Source organism: Homo sapiens, chromosome 18 (assembly GCF_000001405.40).
Source record: "Homo sapiens chromosome 18, GRCh38.p14 Primary Assembly".
Lineage (NCBI taxonomy): Eukaryota > Metazoa > Chordata > Mammalia > Primates > Hominidae > Homo > Homo sapiens.
Window position 1 is genome coordinate 76,064,103 of NC_000018.10, and position 23,543 is coordinate 76,087,645.

Genomic DNA, 23,543 nt, shown 5'->3' on the forward strand with positions numbered 1-23,543 from the left:
ATTACAGGCGTGAGCCACTGCGCCCAGCCAGTTTCCCATACTGCTTGGCACACTGATTTGCACACCAGTTTCAATAGCATGGGTTTCAAAAAAGTTAAATTCCAGAAAGAAAGTGAATACAGAAAGATCTTAGGAATTATGGGAGTGCAGAGGAGGCAGCATTCGCTGAGGCTGGGCCAGGGATGGGCCGGCCTGGAACGTGGGGAGAAGTGGGGAGCCCTTGGGAAGGGATGGCAGACACCATTGTTTCCCAGTGAGCAGGCATCCCTTCTTCCCTGCTGCAGAGCCTGGATCTTGTTTAGGCAGCAACATGGCCAGCGCTAGGGGTTTGGACTAAACTATTCAAGACTATCCCTTTCTCTCTGTCAGATGCTCTCTTTCCACACCTTGTCACCAGAGAGCCAGAGGAAGTGTGAAGCCCATTGGCCAGAAGGGGAGTTCGGCTGCAACTTCTGTAAAAGCTATTTCATCCCTCATTAAAGAGAAAAAAAAAAAGCAAAAAACCCCAGCAGACTGGCACCATGCATACACTTGTGCACGCTCACACACACACACACACACACACACACGCACACCTGCAGACAGCTCTCCCTCCCTCCCGTGCATTGCTGGCTCACTCCTCTGGGCCTTTGGAGACATTATTTTTTAAAGCCGTAGCTGATGCCTTGTTGCTGGAAGGGAAAGGCCAAAAGAACTGTAGAAAATGTGAAATCCAGTGCCTGGAAATCACTCAGCCATTTGGCTGAACTTGGAACCACCAGTCCCCAGCATTTGCGTGATCTTATAGGTCAATCTTCCTCCCAGATCATGGGAGAAGCCTCTGAACTTGCTCCTGTTCCCATCCTCATCCCTTCCCAGTCCTGCACTGCAGCAAGAGTAACCCTATTAGGGCCTAAGGAAGGTGAAGGCAGACTCCTTCTTTGCTCAGAACCTGCAAGGCCTCCCATTTTGCTCATTTGGAACACAAGCAAAGTCTTCCCGCGGGCAGCAGGCTTACCTGTCTGCCCTCCCCTCTCACCGCTTTGACTCTGCTTTCTCCCAGCCCTCACTCCACCCCCACCACACCCAGCTGCTCAGGCTTCCTGCAGCGCCTGGAATCTGCCAGGCGGTCTCCTCCCACAGGACACTTGTCCTGCCTTCCCCTTGGTCTAGGCTGAGATAAGCACATGACTAACTCCTCAATGTCCTCCAATCATCGCTGCTGTGATCATGCTGTTTTTAAAATGCAAACCACACTCACTCACCTCCCAGTAGCTTCATCCTCCTATCATCTTCCTCTACCCCTTCCACAGGCTTAGCACTTCTTCGTGAACATAATTTACTGATTTATACTATTATGGTTAATTATCTATCTCCTCCTCCTAGAATCAAAATCCCATACATTTTTATTTCTAGTCTGTTTGTTTTGTTGATGTAATCAAGGTTAAAGCACAGTGCCTGGCACAGGGTGGGTGCCCAGCAAATATGTGTTCAATAAAATATGTGTCAAATACTATTTCTGCAGTAGGACAGTGACTCTGACAAACCCTCCAAAAATGTGTGATGATTGAATGAAAATATAATTTAGCAAACAAAAACTTACATGCTACCACCTTTATAAAATGGATCTGATACATGGAACAAGATGATTTTCCAATACAGTCACAAATTCCATGCAGTGTAAAATAAGTACAGATTACTTATTTTAAATAAGTACATAAAATATAAAACTTAAAATGTACTTAAAATATAACATGTACTTAAAATGTAAAACTTGATCAGAATTATTGTGAAAAATATTGCTGCATGGACAATGCCAAGGACATGTTATAAAACTATTGTTCCTTATGACTCTATGAATATTGCTTCTAGGTCTCAATCTCCTTTCTATCCAAAAGAGAAAAAAAGATGATTTGTGTGAACAGCACTCCAGGTCACCTCCTCGAGGGCCCTCTCTTCATCCTCCTGACCTATGTGCGTATTAGCCCACAAACATGGGTAAACCCTTTCATTTACTTTATCTGCTTGCATTCCCATCTGCCTAGATTTTCTGGGAGAAAGTCCTAAACTAGGAGCACTGGCTGCACAAAATAATATATTTTCTAGTCCCAACTACTATCTTTGTAGTCACCCCAATGAAAAACACATATTCCTTTTATTCCATTCAACACTGAAGCTGCGTCATTGTCTCAGGTCAATACCCGAGGTTCATTGTCTCACGCCAAGGAAGTCGAGGACGTGGACACACAGGAAGTGAGTTTAAGAGCGGAGGTTTCATAGGCGAGAGAAAAAAGAAGACAAAAGCTCTCTCTCCTACAAAGAGACGGGGCTCCCAAGTGGGTCTTCAGGTTCCCTGGTGAAATGCAAGGGGTTTTATAGATGAGCTTGAGGAGCTGGTATCTGATTACATAGGGCATGAGAGATCGGTTGGACCAGGCGTACCATTTGCATAGCGTGCAAAGAAGCCGGCCGTCCCGCCCTCACCTTTTATTATGCAAACGGGTTCTCTACCTGGCTGGTGCCATGGTGCCTGCTTCTTTACTGCACACATGATTGACAAAGAAAAGGAAAATGAAGCCTCCATGTTGAACACGGCTGGCCCTCAGGTAGACGTTTCCTATTGGCACAGCTACCAGCATTCACCTGTTCAAGCTTCTAGCTTGCTTATCTCTGTCTGTAGCTCGATTTCACAGGCTGCTCTTTGTTAGAAAAGAAATGATTTGGGGGCTGCTTTTTGATAAAAGGGAGGCCTTACCGAAGACTCTGTTACCTTCACTATTTGCCTAAATAATTTTAGTCTAGCTCCTACATCAACACCATTTCCAACCTCCTCTCGCTCCTTCCACACTCACATCCTGGTCCCCAATTGCTGATTCCCTGCCTTCAATTTTGCTTTTTCAAGAAGATCCAGACCAGCCTTTGCACAGATGTTGTTCTGTGTGTCTTCACTCCACCTTTGGTACCACTTTTCCATTTCTTGTTTTTCAACTTTTCCATTGCTGTATAACCTTCATCTAGCAAATTATTATTAATTTTTCCTTTTTTGTTTTGAGACAGGGTCTCACTCTGTCATGCAGGCTAGAGTGCAGTGGTGGCATCATAGCTCACTGCAACCTTGAACTCCTGTGCTCAAGCAATCCTCCTGCCTCAGCTTCCCGAGTAGCTGAGAATACAGGCACATGCCTCCACACCCACCTACAGAGCAAATTATTAAAATCCAAATCTTCTATTTGCTTCCTAATTTATGTATTTTAAAGTTATTATTTTAGTTATTATTTAGTTAAAATAATAACTTATAAAGTTATTATTTTAGATCCTAGACATCTAAAGATTACAAAAGGCACTCCTGACTTACCACAATCCACTGTAAACCAATTAACTTACCACTACTGAAACATGACAAGCCCCTTAAAATTGTCCAGTGTCTTTTCTCTTCTTTTGCCCTTTGCACTATTTTGATATACTACTATATTCTACATAGTATATATATGCACGTGTGTGTATTATAAACTACATAAGATAGTATTTTTGTTGTTGTTTTAGAAAACCAATATATTTATCCTTTTCAGTAGAGTCCTTCCTTCCTGCAGTGTTATCCTATCTGGAGTCATTTTCTTTTTAAAAAAGTCTTTTTAAAAATATCTATTATTTATTTATTTATAACTGTCAAACACTAATTATGTATAATTTTGGAGTACAATGTGATGTTTTGATCTATATCTATATCTATGTATCTATATATACACATATATGTACACACATATATATGTGTATATGTACACATATATGTACACATATATATGTGTATATATACACATATATATGTGTGTGTGTGTATATATATATATATTTTTTTTTTTTTTTGAGACGGAGTCTTGCTGTCACCTAGGCTGGAGTGCAGTGTCGCGATCTCGGCTCACTGCAAGCTCCGCCTCCCAGGTTCACGCCATTCTCCTGCCTCAGCCTCCCGTGTAGCTGGGACTACAAGTGCCCACCACCACGCCCGGCTAATTTTTTTGTATTTTTAGTAGAGATGGGGTTTTGCAGTGTTGGCCAGGATGGTCTCGATTTCCTGACCTCGTGATCTGCCCACCTCGGCCTCCCAAAGTGCTGAGATTACAAGTGTGAGCCACCGCGCCCAGCCTGATCTGTGTATATATTATAGAAAGATTCAATTGAGCTAATTAACATACCTATAACCTCCACCAATTTATTATTCTCTTTTGTGCTGAGAAAATTAATAATCTATTCTTTCATGAATTTTGAATGACACAGTACATTATTATTAACTGCGGTCACCATGCACTGCAACAGATCACTAAAAACTTATTCCTTCAGTCTGACTGAGACTTTTCCCCCTGGATCAACAACTTCCTGTTCCCCACTCCCGCCCCTCCTCCAGCCTCTGGCAACCACAATTCTACTCTCTGTTTCTATAAGATCGACTTTTAAAATTCGACATATAAGTGAGGTCATACAGCATTTGTCTTTTTGTTTGTGGCTTATCTCATTTAGCGTATGTCCTTCAGTTCCATCCACAGTGCCACCAATGACTGAATTTCCCACTTTTTTAGGCCTGCATAGTATTCTGTTGTGTATATACACCATTTTCTTTATCCAGTCGTCCACTGACAGACCCTTAGGTTGCTTCCATATTTTATTTATTGTGAATAATGCTGAAATGAACATACAAATGCAGATATCTCTTCAACATAATGATTTTAATTTCTTTGGCTAAATACTCAGAATTGGGATTGCTGAATCTTATAGTAATTCTATTTTTAGTTTTCTGAGGGACCTTCATACAGTTTTCCAAAATGAGTACTAATTTTCATTCCAACCAACAGGGTACAAGATTTCCTTATCTCCACATGCTTCACCAACACTTATCATTCATCTTTTTAATAATAGCCATACTAACAGGTGTTTTGTAATATCTCATTATGGTTTTAATTTGCATTTCCCTAATGATTAGAGATGTCAAAGGTTTTTAATATATTTGTTGCCTTTCACATCTTTTCTTTAGAGAACTATCTGTTCAGACCCTTTGCCCATCTTTGAAATCAAATTATCTATTTTCTTGCTGAGTTTATTGAGTTCCTTACATATTTTGGATATTAACCCCTTACTAGATGTATGGTTTGCAAATATTTTCCATGGATTCTCTCTTCACTCTGTTGATTGCTTCCTTTGCTATGCAGAAACCTTTTTTGTTTGATATAATCCCACTTGTCTACTTTTGGTTTTGTTGCCTGAGTTTGTGTAGTCACATCTGAGAAATTATTGGCCAGACCAGTGTCATGGAGCTTTTTCTCAACATTCTTCTAGTAGCTTTATAGTTCCAGGTCTTATGTTTAAGTCTTTTTATTCATTTTTGAGTTGATTTTTTTATATAGTGTGAAATAGGGTCCAATTTTATTCTTCAGCATATGGATATCTAGTTTTCTCAAGACCATTTGTTAAAGAGACTATCCTTTCCCCATTGTGTGTTCTTGGCACCTCTGGAGAAAATCAATCAACCCTAAATAACTGGGTTTATTTCTAGGCTTTCAATCCTGTTCCATTGGTCAATGTGTCTGTTTTTATGCCAGTACTATCTTGTTTTTATTACAATAGCATTGTATGATATTTTGAAACCTAGAGGCTGGAAACTGAAGCTATTTTATTTAGCTTCAAGAACTACCTTTATTATTTCTTGAAATAACTCACGCTGGCATTGAATTATTTCAACTTTTGTTTAACTGAATTATTTATTTTGCTTTTATTTCTAAAGGATGATTTCTCTGACTATAAAATTTTATATGTAGTTTTTTCCCCCTTTCACACTTTAAACATGCCATTCTATTGTCTTCTGGCTTTCATAGTTTCTATAAAAAATCAGTTTTAAGTCTTATTATTGTTACCTTGTGTCTTCTAACTCTGGCTACTTTTAGTTTCTCTCTCTGTCTCCTCTCTCTTTCTCTCTCTCTCCCCCCCACTTTTTTTTGGAGGGTGGGTGGGCAGGGCAGTGGTTTAGTACACTGAGTTGGAAGTACCTAGGTGCCCAGGCATGATTTGCTTTATATTTATCAAAACTGAGGTTTTTGAGCTTCTTAAAATCAGTAAGCTGATGTTGTTTATCAGTTTTGAAAATTTCTCAGCCATGTTATTTTCACATTGTTTCTTTTCCAATATCTCCCATCGTGCCTTCTGGAACTCCAGTTACACATATGTTCGACCTTTTGACTTTATCCCATGTCTCTTCTAGGTTTTCCATTTTTTTAACTTTTTTTTCTCTTTGCCTTAAGTTTGGATTTTTGTTTGTTTGCTTTTCTTCTATCTCATTAACTCTGTATTCTATCAAGTTCAGTATTCTGTTACACTCATCCAATAACTCTCCATTTCAGATATTGTATTTTTCAGATCCAGAATATCTATTTGATTATGTTGTATATTCCTAGTGCATGGTACTTATTCCTAAGAAATGGTATTTATTTCTAGAGTGTAACCTTGTCCTGGGACATGGACTCTGAGCCCTCTACTGATAGACCAGATAACATATCGAGGCTCTTCCTCCAGGTCAGTGCTTGAACTCTAACTACTTTTCCCTCAGACCCTCCATGGTTGAAATCTTTGTTCATCTCTTTATCTTGCCAGCTCTTATTTCTTACTAAGTTTCTTGAAAGTTTCTTTGCAAATATGCAGCCTAGAAATTGGCCAGTAATTGAGAGAAATGTTCTACGAATGTATGAGTGATTTCTTTGTGATTTCCTTCACCACGGTACTTTTGCCCTCTTAGACCAACTGCTTTAGCAGGCTTGGATCTGACCTGTGTGTCCTCAGCTAGTACAATTGCCACTGTCTTCTTGGATTCTATTCCTCCTGTGTTTTTCTGAGGTGAGTATGGAAATAATTTTGTATATTTCCCTTCTCTGAGAGACGGTAGCCCCTGAAGTCTTATGCACAGCATTTCCCACCACTTCCATCAAACTGTTGCTTTACATAATTTGTCCAGCTTTTATGGTTGTTTTAGGAGAGAGGGGTGATTATTCTAATTCGAGCTTCTCCATTATGACTGGAACCAGAGATTCCATTTTCTTCTTTACGTAGAGAAAATAAAAATAAAAATAAAAATAAAAAATAAAAAACAAAAATCTCTTTATTTCCAAAGCTAAAATCTTCCCTTAGGTTTTAACCCTATTTCTTCCTCCTTCTAAAATTTTATTTTATCTTCAATTCTCTCTTCCGTCTCCACTGGTTCTTTCTTGTCTGTCTGAAATCAAACAAATCGTAATCTGAAAATAAACAAACAAGCAAACAAACAAAATTTTATTTCAGATCTTGCATCTGTTTCCTAGTTTATATTTTCTTTCATTAAACATCTTTAAAATAATTACACTACTTCTTCAGAGTCCTCTTCCTTGTCATTTACTGCCACTTCTTTCTCTGTCAATCTGGCTTTGCTTCCTATATGCTACAATAATTTTTCAGTTATAAGAAAAAACATTTTTTCACATTTTAGCATGTCTGAAATAGGAATTAGTCTTATGATCAATGGAATCATAAATTGGATGAAATATGATAAAATTAGATATTTCAATATTACCTTTCACCTTCTAATCCCCAAAGCCAATGGCTTTTCTTATATTATGTTCTTCATGATCTCTCTGAATCATATGGCATCTCTTCCTTCTCAAAATTTTCTTCCACTGCCTTTAATGATATCCACAGCCCTTTTGGTTTATTTCTGAAGCTTGTCTTTCTTCTGCCCCTAATACGTAAGTTTTTTCTTAAACCAATTATCTTATCTCTACTTTGTCAATCAGACTCAAATTTTACCTTTTAGTACTGAAGTTCTACCCATTACATTATCTATCATTTTCAAGTAATTGTTATATTAACTTCTCCTAGAAAATTCTAAAGTTGCATAAACAGGCATTAGAGCAATTCCGCTCTATGGCCCATAAGCCTGTTGTTCGGATTTTCCTATTTCTCACAATGGCATCAAAGCCTCCAGGACTCTAACATTTAATGCATGAGGGTCATTTCTTATCCTCCGAGGCTATGCTTCCTACCTGTAGTCAGGATCCTAGTCTCTACCCTAACACTTGAGATCATTCCTTTCTCTCTCTCCATTTCTTTTATGAACATCTCAACTCAAATTCATATTATAATTGTCCTGAAAAATTGCAAAGCCTTGGTACTGGCTGCAGTAGAGTGTATTAACTATGATCCCATGAAGTATACTTCCCTGCATCTGTCCAAGGCCCTTTGCCATGTAAAGCTGTCACTGTTCTCATCAAGATGCAGTTGATAGCTTTACACTCTTGAATCTAGGCTGCCTCTGTACATTGGTCTGATTAATGCAATGGGTAAGAGTGACATTTTCAGAGCTAAGTTCAGAGCAACTTCCACTCTGGTCACTTAAAACACTTCCTTGTGACTGTCTTGCAAAGATGGTTTGGCTACTGGGAAATAAGATATCACACCATGTGGAAGAGAACTGAGGCACCCTAGCCAACAGCTGGAACCAACTTCCAAACCTGGATGAGATCTTATAGCTTTATACTCCAAGTCAGGTCATGAGAAGACTGCAGTCATACGAATGATCCCAGCTGAGCCCAACAGAAGAACCACCCAGGTTGCTGACCTATGGCATTTTGAATAATTACAGATTTTTTTAAAATAGACTAATGTCTGAGGTGGTAACTGATATTGGCATCAAGTAACACATAATACCCCTGGCTTCCAGTGTCTCAAAGCTATCCTAATATTGCTGTCTGTTACAGACCAAATGTTTGTGTCTTCCGAGATTCACATGTTGAAGCCGTAACTTCCAATGGAATGCTATTTGGAGATAGGACCCTTGAGGTTTAGATGAGGTCACAAGTGCAGTGCCCTCAGGATGGAATTTAGTGCCCTTAAAAGAAGAGGAAGACATAGAAAAATCTTCCCTTCTCTTCACATGTACCCCCAGGAAAAGCCATGTGAGGACATAGCAAGAAGACAGCCATCTGTAGCCAAGAAGTGGGTCTTACCAGAACCCAACCATGCTGACACTCTGATTTGAGACTTCTGTACTCCAAAACTGTGAGAGAATAGATTTCTGTTTTGAAGCCACTCAATCTATGGTATTTTGTTATGGCAACCTGAACTGATGTAGACGCTGCCCAATTAATCTTCCTGAAGTCCATCCCTCCATGATGCAATGGTTCTCTATGTCCTACCATTAAAACTCAATATCCACTTTTTTACTTCACCCACCAGTCACTTCTTATGCCATTATGAGAGTTCCCCTTTCTATAAGTATTAAGGACATGACTATCTCCTTTGACTAAGATCCCGTCAGAGACATTGGCCTCATTTTGCAGTGATTCTGTAGCTACGTACACTTGCTGCTGGTGCCTCGCTGAGCACCCTGGAGGGGGACAAAGCACTGTGCTCCCTGACCAGCAATGTGGAGACACATCTCTGGGGCTTCAGCATCTGAAAGTTTATCTCATCGGACTTGCCAGGCTAGTACCAATCGGTTGGTTTTATGGATGAGTCACAACTAAATGCGTTAAGTAAGCTGGTCCTTTCAAGCAGCATGGTATAAGACTAAAGGGTGTGGAATGTGGAACCCTACAGATGTGAGCTCTGCCACTATCCAAACATGTGACCTTTGAGAAGTCACTTTATCTCTCTGAAAAAAAGTCAACCCATCTGTAAGTTGGAAGCAAGTTTGAGAAATATATACTGGTGCTTATCCCAGAATCTCACCCATCTTAAGTGCTCACCAAATTGTGGTTATTGGCAAGTCCCTGTTATCTATGGACATTGTATTAGTTTCTTGTGGTCGTTGTAAACAATTTCCACCAACTTGGGGGCTTAATCAACAGAATTTTTTTGTCTTTCCATCTGGAGGCTACAAGTCTGAAATTGGCATCATTGGGCCAAAATCAAGGTGTTTATGGGCCACGCTCCCTCCGGAGGCTCAAGGGAAACATTTGTTCCTGGCTTCTCCCAGTTTCTGGTGGCTGCCAGCCTTCCTTGACTCATGGCCACATCACTTCAAGCTCTTCTGTGATCACATTGTCTCCTCCTCTTCAGCCTTTCAAATCTCCCTCTGCCTCCCTCTTCTTAGGCCTTTTGTGATATATCTGGGATAATCGAAGAAAATGTCCTCATCTCAAGATCCCTAATTTAATTCCATCTATAAAGATCCTTTTTTAAAACAATATTGCATTTACAGATTCCAGAGATTAACATATATATATCTTTCAGCCTTCCACAAATGCAGAGCAAACTACCACATTAGCAACTTAGAATAACACACATTTATTTTCTCACAATTTCCATGGGTCAGGACGTTGGGCACAGCTAAACTGGGCTCTTAGCTAAGGGTCTCACAAGGTGACAATCAAGGTATCAGCCAGATACCTTGGGGAGCTCAAAGTCCTCTTCCAAGCTCACACAGTTGTTGGCAGAACCCAGTTCCTTGCGGTTGTACGTCTAAGACTTCTGTTTCGCTGCTGGCTGTCAGCCAGGGCCACTCTCTCTTCCTTGCCATGCGACCCTTTCCCAGAATGCAGAGCCCTCTCACACAGCAAAGTTTACATTTTTAGGGCAGGCAGAAGAATCTCTGTCTCCAGCCTGCCAAGACAGAGCCTATATAATGTAAGCTCGTCAAGGGAATGACATCCCCCTCAGCTTTGCCATATTGTCTTGGCAAGTCACAGCTTCCAGCACACTCAAGAGATGGGACTTATACAGGGTATTCCACATGGGCGATTACCCTAGTGTGTGTCCACTGCATGTAGGAATAAAATAAATAGTAATAATGACAGCAGAAGTGGTACTTCAAATGAGAAGTGTTATGGTTTGAATGTGTCCCCCTCCAAAAGCATTTGGGGACAATGCTTTCTGGGGGACACATGTAAACCGCAGCACTTTTTGGCAAGTTAATCCCCAATGCAACAGTGTTGGGAGCTGGCACCTAATAGGAGGTGTCTAGGTCATGAGGGTTCCATCCTCATAAATGAGTTAATGCCAATTATAAAAGGGCTTGGGGGCGCTGCAAGTTCAAACTCTTGCCCTTCCATCTTCCACCGTGGGATGGCCTGGCCAAGAAGGCCCTCTCTAGATGTGGGCCCCTTGGTCTTGGACTTCCCAGACTCCACAACCATGAGCCAAATAAATTTCTGTTGTTTTGTAAGTACCCAGTCTGTGGTATTCTGTTATAGCAGCACAAGAGGTATTTCCAGTGAGTATGAAGAATGCATAAATCATGGGAATAAACTTTGGCATAAAATAAAATAGATTATTTAATTATTTCAAACTCTAAACCAAATCACTACTGCTCCAAATTATGGTTTACAACTATGATGGCATTCATAGTCTGACCCAGTTATCTCACCCTGAGAAATTTGTACTAAACTAGTAATTCAAAAGAGCTCCCTTCCTCCAGATGAAAAGCTTTAAACTGGAAACAGGAGCCCACTTAGCAGGTCCCATAGCTCCAGCAAGGACTGACTCTGCTGCTTTGTCTGAGCAAAATTAACCAGCAGCATGGCTCAGAGGTTCCTGGGAACCTGTGGCAACATCGGGTAGCAGGTGGGGCTTAGGTCAGCTCTGAAAGATGTGACAGGTGTGTGGAGAGGACAGGAAGTTGCCCAGGTCAGAAAATCTAGCATGTGTTAGGCATGTTCACAAATAAGCCCATCTATCAGCTGGCTACAGTGAAGGATACACAGAATTGAGAATTAGCAAGGTCCTCTAACCCAGGTATCCCAGACTCCTGTGCCCTCCAACAGCTATAGTTCCCTTTATTTTATAAATAACAGTAACTTCAGCTACTATACCCAGCTCTGCAGTAAGCTCAGCCTTTCAGATTTCCCTCATCCAGCGTCTCTGGGAATCCACAGCAGGGTCTCCAGGTTCCATGAGTCATGCTCGCTGGCTGTGCCAGCCATTCCTCTGGACTGCTGAGATTCTTCTGCAGGTGACCTCAGGACTTCAGAAAAAATGGTGCAGCTTCTAGGCTACCAACCAGCAGAAATGTGACTCCACGCAGGACGGAAGCAGCATAATGGGCTATTATATCAAGCAATGTAATTGCTCAGTTTTTCAAACTTCTTTATTTGAAAAGCAGAAGCTTTATGTAACCATAAGTCTCACTAAAATATTTTTACCAAAACAAAAATGTAGAAATAGAAACACTATCAGCAGCATTTAATTAGCCAGTTTTTCTTAGTATTAGACGTTAGGACTTAAACATTATTGGAGTGCAATAATGCAAAGTGTCAATTCAGTCATCTTAGGCTGAAGTAAATCAGGGTGACATGAGATCCTTGAATTCCAAACAAGCAGCTTGGAATATTATCTCATAAGCAAGGAAAAGTGTTTGAAATCTTCTACTAGGAGGCTGATATGATGAAAGCTTGAACGAGGATTCCCATGGCAGCCGCACACAGAATATACTGGAAATCTGAACCAAGCACTGCTTCTAATTGAGGGCAGTGGCAATGGATTTGATGCTAGAGACATTGATAAGGAAGAATTTTTATGGAATGAAGTTATGTAGCTGTTGGGAGAAAGGGAGAGGGAAATTTAAACAAAGTCAAGGTTTTGAACATGGACAATGGGGTGAAGACGGACGCAGCCAATACAAATGGGGAAGGCACAAGGGCAGCCCTGAGAAAGCAGAAGTGAGGAGGCCCCCTTTGCATGGCTTAATTTCAGTGACTCCGGTGAGTCTTCATGAACGTTGCCAATGAGTAGTTGTAGGGAGATTATCAACACCTCTGCTTCAATATCATCAAGGATACAGTGACATACTCCCAACTCTGCTTATGACAGGCACTCAACACAGGGTTTGGGGATGAAAGATTGAAAGCATCAATGAATTACTTTAGCTGGAAAGACATGAAGGTAAAGAAAAACATTTAATAATTACATGTGACCACTTTCAATGTTCACTTATCTACAAATAGCCTCGTGTCCACTCTGTCTGTATACAATCCAAAATAACTCAAGAGTTATAATCATTAACATTAAAGGTAGACAAACTGAGAAGAATGGACCTCCTGCCTTCAGTATCCAGTGAGAAATATGTTAAAAGGCACAAATAAACAACAATTTCTGGAAAAAAAGAAAGAAGTCCAAGTAAAACTGCTTAAAATAGGAAAGATAAATTCAGACAACACCCAAAAGATTGATTCTCACCTGGAGTTTCTATGATAGTCAGAAGGCTTAAATATCTGTTTTGTCACTATCTCTTTGGATTCCACCCCACTGGATAGGGGTGTTTTGAAATACTGCATGAGCTGAAATGTCTTTGAATAAGAATTAATCCAGACTTGAATTAATAGGTGGATAAGTAAGTAGGTGAAGATTGAAAATAGTGTTGATTTGTAGGCAGAAATTCAAGATGTTAACATGTAGTAAATTCCCTCTTTGTTATTTGAAATAGACCCTCCGGTCACACAGTGGGCTAAAGAGACCCTCTCACAACATGCCTGTTTTCTGGCCTGTCCTTGTTTTCAGACACCGTAGGGTCGATGGAGTTGAGGACAGTGTCTGTCGCCTGTCTCTCCCATGAATAAATGCAGCGCACATGTGGTGGGCAGGCCTCCACTTTTATGTACATGTTTACCTCCATAAAACAGTCATTGTGGAGCTGTTTGAGTGTGTGGGGGAGTTCTCAACATCTTTCCAACTCTGTCTTCACGGAAAAGTGATAATTCACCAATAAAAACATGAATGCCAGGAAAAGAGGGGAGGAAATAATAGTGTCATCAGTAGCTGTGAGCTAACAACAGTGTAACAGGAGGAAGAGTGGCTTTTTAAACCAGAAAGGTAGGTCCAGCACCCTCCTAAATAACGCTGTGATATGGCACAAGTCATTCACCCTCTCTGAGCCAAAGATGCTTTCATCCTCCAAAGCAAAATTCTTACAGCTGCCCACTCTATTTCCTAGGGCTGTGGTGAGGAATAAATGATTAATGCAGATGTAGTCTGTGGGGATAGTGACCAGGAAGAATAAAAATATATAAAAATACTTCAAAACATCAAGAAGATTAGACTAGACAATAAGAAAAATTTGTTTTCTTCCAAAATACCTAGTTACTCATCCCAGGATTGGGAAATTCAGTGGCGTAATGACATCCTTAAGATGGATCCTTTGCACCTCACATGAGTCCGTCCTCATTCCAGCTGCTGTCTCCACTCAGGGCCAGAGGACAGCAGGTGCCCTGAGCATCATAGCATTGCCCACTGCTTGCTCAGGCGCAGAAGACATGGTCTCTCCTTCTTGCATCTCTGTGATTTTCTTTTAAAAGTCACTGTACCAAACTATAAATTACGCAAAATATCATCTCCATTTTATGTATGCAATTGAGTGCATTTTGACAAATGCAATTACACTATTGTAATCACCTACACAAGATGTAGGGTGTCTCCATCACCCCAAACGTTTCCCGTGCACTCCCCTCCGGTCCATCCTTTTCCCACCCTGCCCCTAGAAAGCCAGAATCTGTGAATGTCAGCATGGAAGAGTTTGCCTGGTCCAGGACTTCCTAGGGCCCAGCCTTTCACTCAGCAGCCTGTGTTGGAGGTTGACCCGTGCTGCTGTGCCCTCTGCAGCTCTCTCCTGGGGACCGCTCCGTAGCACTCTGTCCTTCGGTGGGGACACTGTCACTTGTTTATGCACCCACCTGATGATGGACATTTGGGTTGTTTCCAGTTTGGAGTGAATATAAGGAAAGCATCTATGAACACTCATGTGCAAGTGTGCACAAGGCTTTGTGTGGATACACATGCTCATTTCTCTTGAGTAAATTCTTATGAATGGAATGGCAGGATTCTTTGCTGAGTTCATATTTAACTTCACGAGAAACGGCCCCGCAAATGGCCAGAGTGGAAAACAGTTTCACTCACCCGCAAGCAAGGTGGGGGAGTAACAGCTGCTCCACACACTCGCCAGCACTTGTCATTCTCCATCTTTTCAATTTTACTTGCATTTTTTCTTCATTAATGCTAAAGGTGAAATGCCAAAATGATTGTCCCAGAAGCCCAGGCTGAAGGCTTGCCCTCCTGTCTCAAGAGACAGAAGTACGTCTTTCCATTTCACGCGACAAAGGAGGTGGAATTATCATGATTGTTTCCAATCAATTAAAATGCATGTCCTAAGCCCAAGAATGAATTTTAGATTCAGTGTGGAGACCTGAACCTAAACAGCCTCTACTAGGCATAAGGGGAACCAGCTCCTGGACAAAGTTAAGTGTCTTTCACTAGTTTAAAAAAAAAAAAAAAAGAAGGCCCTTGTATGTAAAAAAGTATTATGTATGTAAAATATAACTATATATTCAGAAATGTATGGATTAAAATGGATATATTTAGAAATGCATATATTTATATATTTAGAAAATGCATATAGATCAAAGGCCATGTGAACCACAGATTGACTTATTTTTTCAATATAAGCAATTATGTATTCATTCGTTTTTCATTCAGTGAATACATCATTATTAAACAACGATGTTATGAAAAGTATGAGATGCTAACAGGAAGAGAAATGTGGCCTACTGTGCACCACCTAGAAGAGTTCGCACAACCCTGTATGGCTAAGTTTCACTCACCTTCATCATAAATATATAAATGGATGCCAATCTATTTCTTAAATTATGTAATCAAAATGCAGTTTCTAACGTATTTGGATTGAGGTATTTGATAATATTATCTTGAAGCACAGTCCAATCATCTCTGCCATAAACTGATGAAAATAGTGTTTAATTACTTATTTCTTTTTTTTTTTTTTTTTTTTTGAGACAGAGTCTCGCTCTGTCCCCCAGACTGGAGTGCGGTGGCGCGATCTCGGCTCACTGCAAGCTCTGCCTCCCGGGTTCACGCCATTCTCCTGCCTCAGCCTCCGGAGTAGCTGGGACTACAGGCACCCGCCACCTCACCCGGCTAATTTTTTGTATTTTTAGTAGAGACGGGGTTTCACCGTATTAGCCAGGATGGTCTCGATCTCCTGACCTCGTGATTCGCCCGCCTCGGCCTCCCAAAGAGCTGGGATTACAGGCGTGAGCCACCGCGCCCGGCCACCTATTTCTTATATACTAAAAGCTACAGAGAAAGAAAATGGAAGAATGTCTTAGAGAATCATACACAGAGAAACCAACACTATTCTAAAGGTGCTGTGTTTGAAGAGCAATTACACTGTATTTTGAAAAAGAAAAAAGTAAAATCAATTACATCAATGATCTCAGGAATTCCATCACTAGCGGATCCCAGTTTCTGCAACCAGAGGTGCCCGTGTTCCGCAGGCCGTGTGCACAGTGTGGCGGAGACATGGGCAGGGGCTGGTGCTCTCACCTCCCACACTGAGGCTGGTGCCTGTTGGCAAGCAGGGTCTGTCCGTTTCATCTGGTCACTTTGGATGTCCGTGAGTTGTGATGATATATACATAACCAGGTGCTGTTCTTAACTAGGTATCATTCTGCACCTATTTCTCCAATAAATCTCAATGGCATCTTAAAGCAAAGCAGACACAGCCGCAGTCATGCTGACAGAGGACCTGGCTATTAAGCTGTCTGCAGACTCCAGAATCAGTGAAATGTTTGACAGCGCAGGGACAAATACGTATTAGCAACATTGCTTAATCCATGTTTCAAGGGCAGAATTTGAAACCATGCTTCTGCACGGAGCAGGCTACAATGGCTGGAAGGATACTGTCATAAAGAAATGCCAGAGGCCACGCCGCGATGCACCTCCCCAGCCCCTGGGCTCACCAGCCTCCCTTGGACAGAGCATGTCTCATAAGACAGAAGGTGTGGAGCTCTGACATGAACACAATAAAAAATTTAAAAACTTAATAAAACATTTTTTCAAAGGAGTGATCAGACTGACCCCATGGTCCTGGAGCCCCATGTTCTTCATTCCTGGAGAAGCAACATGAGTTGGGAAAACTCAATCTGTCCAAACGATGGAAAGGTCTGTTTGTGACCAAAGGTCCGAGGCAGCCAGAAGGAAGGATCCTCACCCAGGCAGATAAGTAATCTGTGCATACACACACTTGCCTCTGTCCACACACACTGTGACCCTCTTGCATGAAAGTATAAATAAATAAGGAACTCCAAATTTAGCCACTGTCCAGGCTAAACTCAAACACCACAATAAGACTTGGCAAAGTTATAAAACCATATAGGCTAGACCTTTTTATGATGGACAGGTAACACCATACAATATCTTTCTTTAAATGACTTATTTGTCCTCTTTAAGCCAGTGTTTGGGAGCACTGGCTTCTGTGAAGTTTATTGGGCGTGGACTCCAGCAGAGTGGACTCACTTCCCAGCATATCCAAAAGGGCTGGCGGTGGTAGGCCTGCTGCTCATACAGACTGTGCTTCTCCACCTCCAGGAGGAAGTTGTGCTCCCAGATTTGGGCAAATGATCTTGAAGGCAAAGATGAGATCTGAGTTTTTTAATTTTTCCTGCAGGATGGGAACGAATTGCAGCCTAACACTGAGGAAGAGGGAGGGGAGGTGCTTTTCCAGCCTGGGAGCCCCACATCTCCTAAGGTGCAGTGATGCCGCTTCCAGGCAAGTGCTGATGGACGGTGCCGGCCATGGTGCTGCCCCAGGGGCCTAGTTCTAGACCAGAGGCTGGCACTTCCATCCTCCAGTCGTCAGGCAGCTGGAGCCCAGTCGAGGATGCAGGACGAGCCTCCCCGCCGCAAGCTGGCTCCCCATCCTGCCCTGGTTGCCAGCCTAGTACCAATGCATTCAGCGGCCACACGTGGCCACAGAAATGAGGGAGAGACAGGAGAGTGAGGAATTCTCCCCAATGCTGGTGTGAAAGTGGGAGACACCTGAGCCAGCAAACAAACGGGTAGGTTTCATAAAGCCGTGTTCCTTTCTCTCCCTAGCTTGCTATCACCCTCGGGAAGATTAAATAAAGAAGACGCTATTGATCTGTGAAACATAATCTAATTTCAAAGGAAAACTTTCCAGATGCCATATTCATCGTGGGTGGCAGCAGCAACTATTTGGTCTGCAGCCCCTGGCTGCTTTTCCAGGACTTAACTGGTCTTCACAGCAGCCTCAAATCCTGCAGATCGAGGCAGGGGGGCTCACAGGGACTCACGGGCTGGGTGCTGGGGATCTTGAAGAACAGCTTCCAGATGGACAAACACAGGTCCTTCCATGGAGCCTCCCAGCCAGTCATCTGTGTCAGGGCATTTTTAGGGGTGTCCGTGGAGCAACGGTGAACAGCTCCAGGTGCTGATGGGGCTTCACCTGTGCATTCCTGCTGAGGGGGATGCTGTCCCCTCCTGCCTGCAATGACCGCTTCACTAGCTGCACTGTGGGTACACTGGCGCCTCGCCTGCAGCCCCCAGGAAACTGAACACCTGTCTCTGTGGCCGAGGTAAAGACACCGGAAGTAAAGCAATATCTGTAAAAGAGGCATTGCCAAAAATTAAGAAGAAATGCTGATAAGGCTGGACACAGTAGCTCACGCCTGTAATCCCAACAATTTGGGAGGCAGAGGTGGGCGGATCACCTGAGGTCAGGAGTTCGAGACTAGCCTGACCAACGTGGTGAAACCCCATCTCTACTAAATACAAAAAATTTAGCTGGGCATGTGGAGGGCACCTGTAATCCCAGTTACTTGGGAGGCTGAAGCAGGACAATCACTTGAACCTTGGAGGCAGATGTTGCAGTGAGCCGAGATTGTGCCACTGCACTCCAACCTGGGCAACAGTGCGAGACTCTGTGGAAAGAAAGAGAGAGAGAGAGAGAGAGAGAAAGGAAGGAAGGAAGGAAGAAAGAAAAAAGGAAGGAAGGAAAGAAAGAAAGAAAAAGAAAGAAAGAAAGAAAGAGAAAAAGAAAGAAAGAGAAAGAAAGAAAGACTGATAAATAGTGGACAGCCCATGGTGAGCCCTGAGGATGTTGCCCCGGACATCGAGTCCTCGTCAGCCTGGGAAGTGAAGTTTAAGCACCTCCTCCACAGTTAGTACCAGGAAAAAAAGGCATTAAAACATCAGACACAGGAAAAAAGCATCACTCCAGAGTGCATGGCTGTAATTTCAAGATGCATATAAAGGGCTAGCACTGCCCTGTGGCGTGTTTCCTGACGCCAACCTGCCTCCCTATTACTTCATGGGTACACTGCAGGAAAACTCTTGCAGCATGGCTGAACCTATTTGGGAAGCTTAGATCAAGTTTGCTAGGAGGCCAGGAAATAAATAGAATAATCCATAGAGGTCTCTTCCAGTGCATGTTTCTAAGAAAAGTGAACAGAATTTCTTGTTTCAGTATTTGTTAAAGATTTTAGACAAGCATCTCTTGCAATCTCATCAATTAATACAAACTCAGCTGAATGTACTTCATCCCAAAGAGGCTTGATTCCAACAAGGTCTTTTAAACCTCAGAAATTGAAGCTTTCATTCAGTAGACCTCTGCTTCGTCTCAAGAAGCTAAAACCTAGAAAGACCCTGCAGCAAAGATCAAAACATCATCATTTCCTAAAAAGATTGTTGGTGGTTCCCATTACCTAGGATTAGCCCTGCAATTACAACTCATGAGCAGAAAGTTTTCATGAATCAGTGTAGAATTGTCACTGCTTTATGGCCTTTAAGAATAACTGTAGAGATATTTTATTTTTTATCTAGATTCAAAACAAGAACATGGTTTAAACAAAAAAAAGGAAAAAAGATATATCAATAGTTTTGATTACAGATTATTAAAGAAAAAAAAAGAATCCTCCTGAAACTTCTGGCTTATTTAAACACTGGACAGAATTTTCCCCAGCAAATTCCTCTTCTTAGAAAATCATGCTCTGCCTCATTTTTGTCATGCAAGTAATGCACATATACTATTTTTAGAAATTGTAGGCAATTAAAATCATTTCTCTGTCACAATTCTGCTAATTTTATTGTTGATAACCACGTTCAAACATTTTATAATCAACTTAGTAATTTTTGTCAAGACCACTAGTATCCCTTGGGTCAGCTCACAGTGTCACAGGATGCATGGGGTGTTGCTGCACCAGCTGGAAACTTCTGTGGCTGGGCACACCTTCTGCCTGAGTATTGCTCACACCCCCTGGGCTTGTTCCGCCCACTCGGGTTGGCAGGCTACACTGGGGTTGCACTACCAGCCCAGATCCCATACGTGCCAAGGGCAAGCCAGGCCCAGAGAAGTGAGGGGTGTGAGGGCAAGTGAGTGCAGGATCTGGCCACTGCACACACCAAGCACACTGGCTGCTATGGCTGGGTGGGCAGCTCCAGGTACTGACAAAGGTGCTGGCTTTGTGTGAGGCTGGAGCTAGACCAGATGTACCTCACACAGCTTTCACTGCGGGCATCCGTGTCTGGATTAGGGGAATGCAGTGGCGCCCAGAATCTTGCAGATGCCAGGAGCCACAGAGCTCCAAAGAGGGTGTCACAGTCCTAGCTCAGGGAGCCCCTAGGTCTGGGCTCCCCAAAGGACCACAGCTCTTCTCTCCTTGTTGCCCTCAATTTGGCGAGTGGTGGGAGCATGTTTCAGTCCTGCTTGTGTTACAGCTCTTTCAGTCCCACCATTCAGCAGGTCCTGAATTCTTGTCCCATAGCCAGGAAGAATGAGGTACACAGACAAGTGGAAGGTGAGCAAGGTGGAGAGAAGTTTCATTGAGAGACAAAACATCTCTCAGGAGACCCAAAGTGAGTACCTCCTTTTGCAGGCAGGTTGTACTGACAAGTGTCCAGCTCTTAGCAGAGAGGAGACCGGCAGTGGGTAGCTCCTTTCTCCAGGCAGGTTGTCCCAATGTCTCTGTGAGTCTGGCTGTGTCCAGGGTTTTTAAGAGCTTCAGAAAGGGGAAAGTGCATGTTGATTGGTCCATAGGTGGCCATAGGTGAGCCCAGGAAAAGCACCATAAGTTCTCACTCTGGGCCACAGTCTCCACCCAGAACTGATAGCCTAGCCCCCAGCTTCAGGCCATCCCTGGCTTGGAGGTGAGGCTTCACTGGGGACCTGCCCCTTTCCACCCAGGAGCCTGTCTGCCTCCTGCCACCATCAATCATGTTGTCCATGGCTCCCAGGCTGTTCCTGACAAGGGGCACCTGCAGGCCTGCACCCAACTACCCTCAGCCCCCTCTTGGCCTCCCTCCCATGCTCGTCAGCACCCAAAGTCTGGAGGGTGCCAAGGCAGCAGGGGGCTGGCATGTCAGTGTCTCCCTGGGTGCACACATACCTACCAGGTCATGACAGCACCCAGGCTTGACCCCAACTTTGTTTGGAAATCACGGTGGTTGGTGGGAGTGGGGAGAGACCAGGAAGTGGGAGCAGGCACTTCTGAGTCTGCAGGGGCAGGGGGGCTTACCAGGCCTCCTAAAAGCACAGGGATGCTGGGGTATGCAGCCACAGCTGGGTGGCTGCAGTTGTGCCTGGGAGCACAGGGCTCTCACCCTGCCAACTCAGTAGAGGGTGGGGATCCCATTTGTCCCTGACTCCCACTGGTTCCATACCACTCTGAGCACCCAATCCCAGCTATGCCTCCCTCGCTGCAGCCAGTGTCTTCACAGTGACAGCTCCAGATGGATCGCCATCACCATCAACAGTAATTACTCAGTAAAGTGTTTGACCAACTAGAAGAATAAGGCACTCATTCATCACTAAGTCACTGTTCTTCTCAACTTGACTGTGTTGAGTTTAGCTTGCTAATAAGCCACCCAAGAAGTAAGTGAGAAAGGAGGAAGCTGAGTGGAGGACATAAAATAAGAAAAGAGTCACTATTTTCTCTTGGATTATTTGACTTTTATCAACAAACTGTAAATCTGGCAAATCCACAGAGAGTTTTTTTCCTTTGTGGCATGGGTGTTGATATTTTCATGGAGTCTTAACTCTAGGGATTTCACCAACATTCAGACCTCCACCCCTCAATATACTTATAACTAAGCAACAAAGTCTAGCTGTACACTAGCCACTCTTGGTTCTACCTCCCAGTGACATCTCAAGCCCTTCTAATTCTGCTTACCTCTGTGGGTGACCTTTGCCCATGCTGTGATTATCTTGGGCTTGCATGATCTCCTGCATGGATCTTCACTTTCTTTCCTGTCTCCCTCTAATCCATTCTAGGCACAGTGGTGGAAATATTCTTATATAAGTCAGGCATCCATTAAATCTTAGATTTAATTTTGTGTATAGCTGAGTTCAATTAATTCTCTTCCACAGGACCTAAGCATTTCAGCCATGCCACTGTATTGTAATTCTCTGAATAATATCTATTCATCATCTGGTTTCCCAAACTGAATAAGGAGATTTTCTTCTGAAAAACTTCACAAGTTAGTGAAGGATGAAGACACATAAATAAAAATATATCCTTGTGGACTATGGTAGTGATACTACAGAGGGAAAAACAAAATCCTATGAAATATATTCAAGAAAGAAAGAAAAACTTGGAAAGAAATTTGTTATCCAATTGATAATCATATTTAGCTTCTAACTTGGGGTCAACCTGAAGATTTAATAAACATGAATTTTAAGTCTTCATTAAGGTCAATGATAAACACTACAAACACAATGACAGAGAAACATCCTCATAGAAACAATCATTTATCAAACTTCTTTAAGTAAAATAATTTAACCATGTGTGATGTTTTTAAATATTAGAAAGTGCTTTTATGATGGTTTAGAATCACACCAAGGAGTTTCATGGGGGTCGTCTCACCTTGTCTTAACAATTACCCTGTGAGTCAGGTGTTATCATTTCCACACAGGAAGCAGGTGCAGGTAGGTCAAATAATGTACAAGTGGTGACACCAGAACTGGAACTCAATATTTGTGGCACCAGAGATCATACCTTCAACCACTGTGTGATTGAAGTCCTTATAGGCTTACAGAAGGTTTAATGTAAATTTTTAATTGGGAAGAATGACATAAACATTATGCAAAAAACCTGAAACCAGAAATATGTGAGATGAGTACCCATTCACTCACCAAGACATCACTCCCTTCCTTTTCACCTTCCGACCCCTACTTTTCCAAAATCCTAGAAACACAGAGGCTTTTGTAATTTTAAGCAGGGCCCTGTAATTAAAAATCCATACCTACAGCATAACTAGACTCAAATAATGCCCAAACTTCAAATTACCTGTAAGTAGAAATATAACCCTTAGAGCATTATCCACTATTCAATTGCATGTTTTTGTGGAGAAAAAGGAAAGTCCAAGAAAAAAACTTCATGGGGGAGCAAAGAGAGGAGTTAGCTGCCGGCCAAAGATTGATCCAAAATGACCACCAGAAAGAGAAAATCCATTATATGTGCAAAATGAAAGGAGTCCTGAACAATCAGATGCTACAAAAAGGAGCTATAAATGCAGTCAGTTTGAGTGGCGGGCTTTGATTGAAAGATATTGCTTCTGGGGGAAGAAAAACTTACAAAGGAATGGTGAGACATGCTTTGGATACTGGGTATAAAAGGGAAAATAAACAAAATAGTTAAATTGATGACCCTATGAGAATACCTCCACTGATGAAAATTCTCTGAAGAAACAACCACAAAGTAAAAGAAAAGTCAACACTCTAAATTGACTAAATATGCTAAGCAAGCATTTGGGGT

General features: G+C 42.3%; 4 annotated features.

Moving 5' to 3' along the window:
* Window positions 984-1,483: an enhancer, noted in NCBI's record as "OCT4-NANOG-H3K4me1 hESC enhancer chr18:73777041-73777540 (GRCh37/hg19 assembly coordinates)". NCBI's record gives its function as "activates a minimal SCP1, AML or CMV promoter by ChIP-STARR-seq in naive H9 embryonic stem cells {active_cell/tissue: H9 hESC(naive)}" and the evidence as "EXISTENCE:reporter gene assay evidence [ECO:0000049][PMID:30033119]".
* Window positions 1,089-1,289: a silencer, noted in NCBI's record as "peak3186 fragment used in MPRA reporter construct". NCBI's record gives its function as "represses an SCP1 promoter by STARR-seq MPRAs in K562 erythroleukemia cells {active_cell/tissue: K562}" and the evidence as "EXISTENCE:reporter gene assay evidence [ECO:0000049][PMID:32103011]".
* Window positions 19,710-20,211: an enhancer, noted in NCBI's record as "H3K4me1 hESC enhancer chr18:73795767-73796268 (GRCh37/hg19 assembly coordinates)". NCBI's record gives its function as "activates a minimal SCP1, AML or CMV promoter by ChIP-STARR-seq in primed H9 embryonic stem cells {active_cell/tissue: H9 hESC(primed)}" and the evidence as "EXISTENCE:reporter gene assay evidence [ECO:0000049][PMID:30033119]".
* Window positions 20,212-20,711: an enhancer, noted in NCBI's record as "H3K4me1 hESC enhancer chr18:73796269-73796768 (GRCh37/hg19 assembly coordinates)". NCBI's record gives its function as "activates a minimal SCP1, AML or CMV promoter by ChIP-STARR-seq in primed H9 embryonic stem cells {active_cell/tissue: H9 hESC(primed)}" and the evidence as "EXISTENCE:reporter gene assay evidence [ECO:0000049][PMID:30033119]".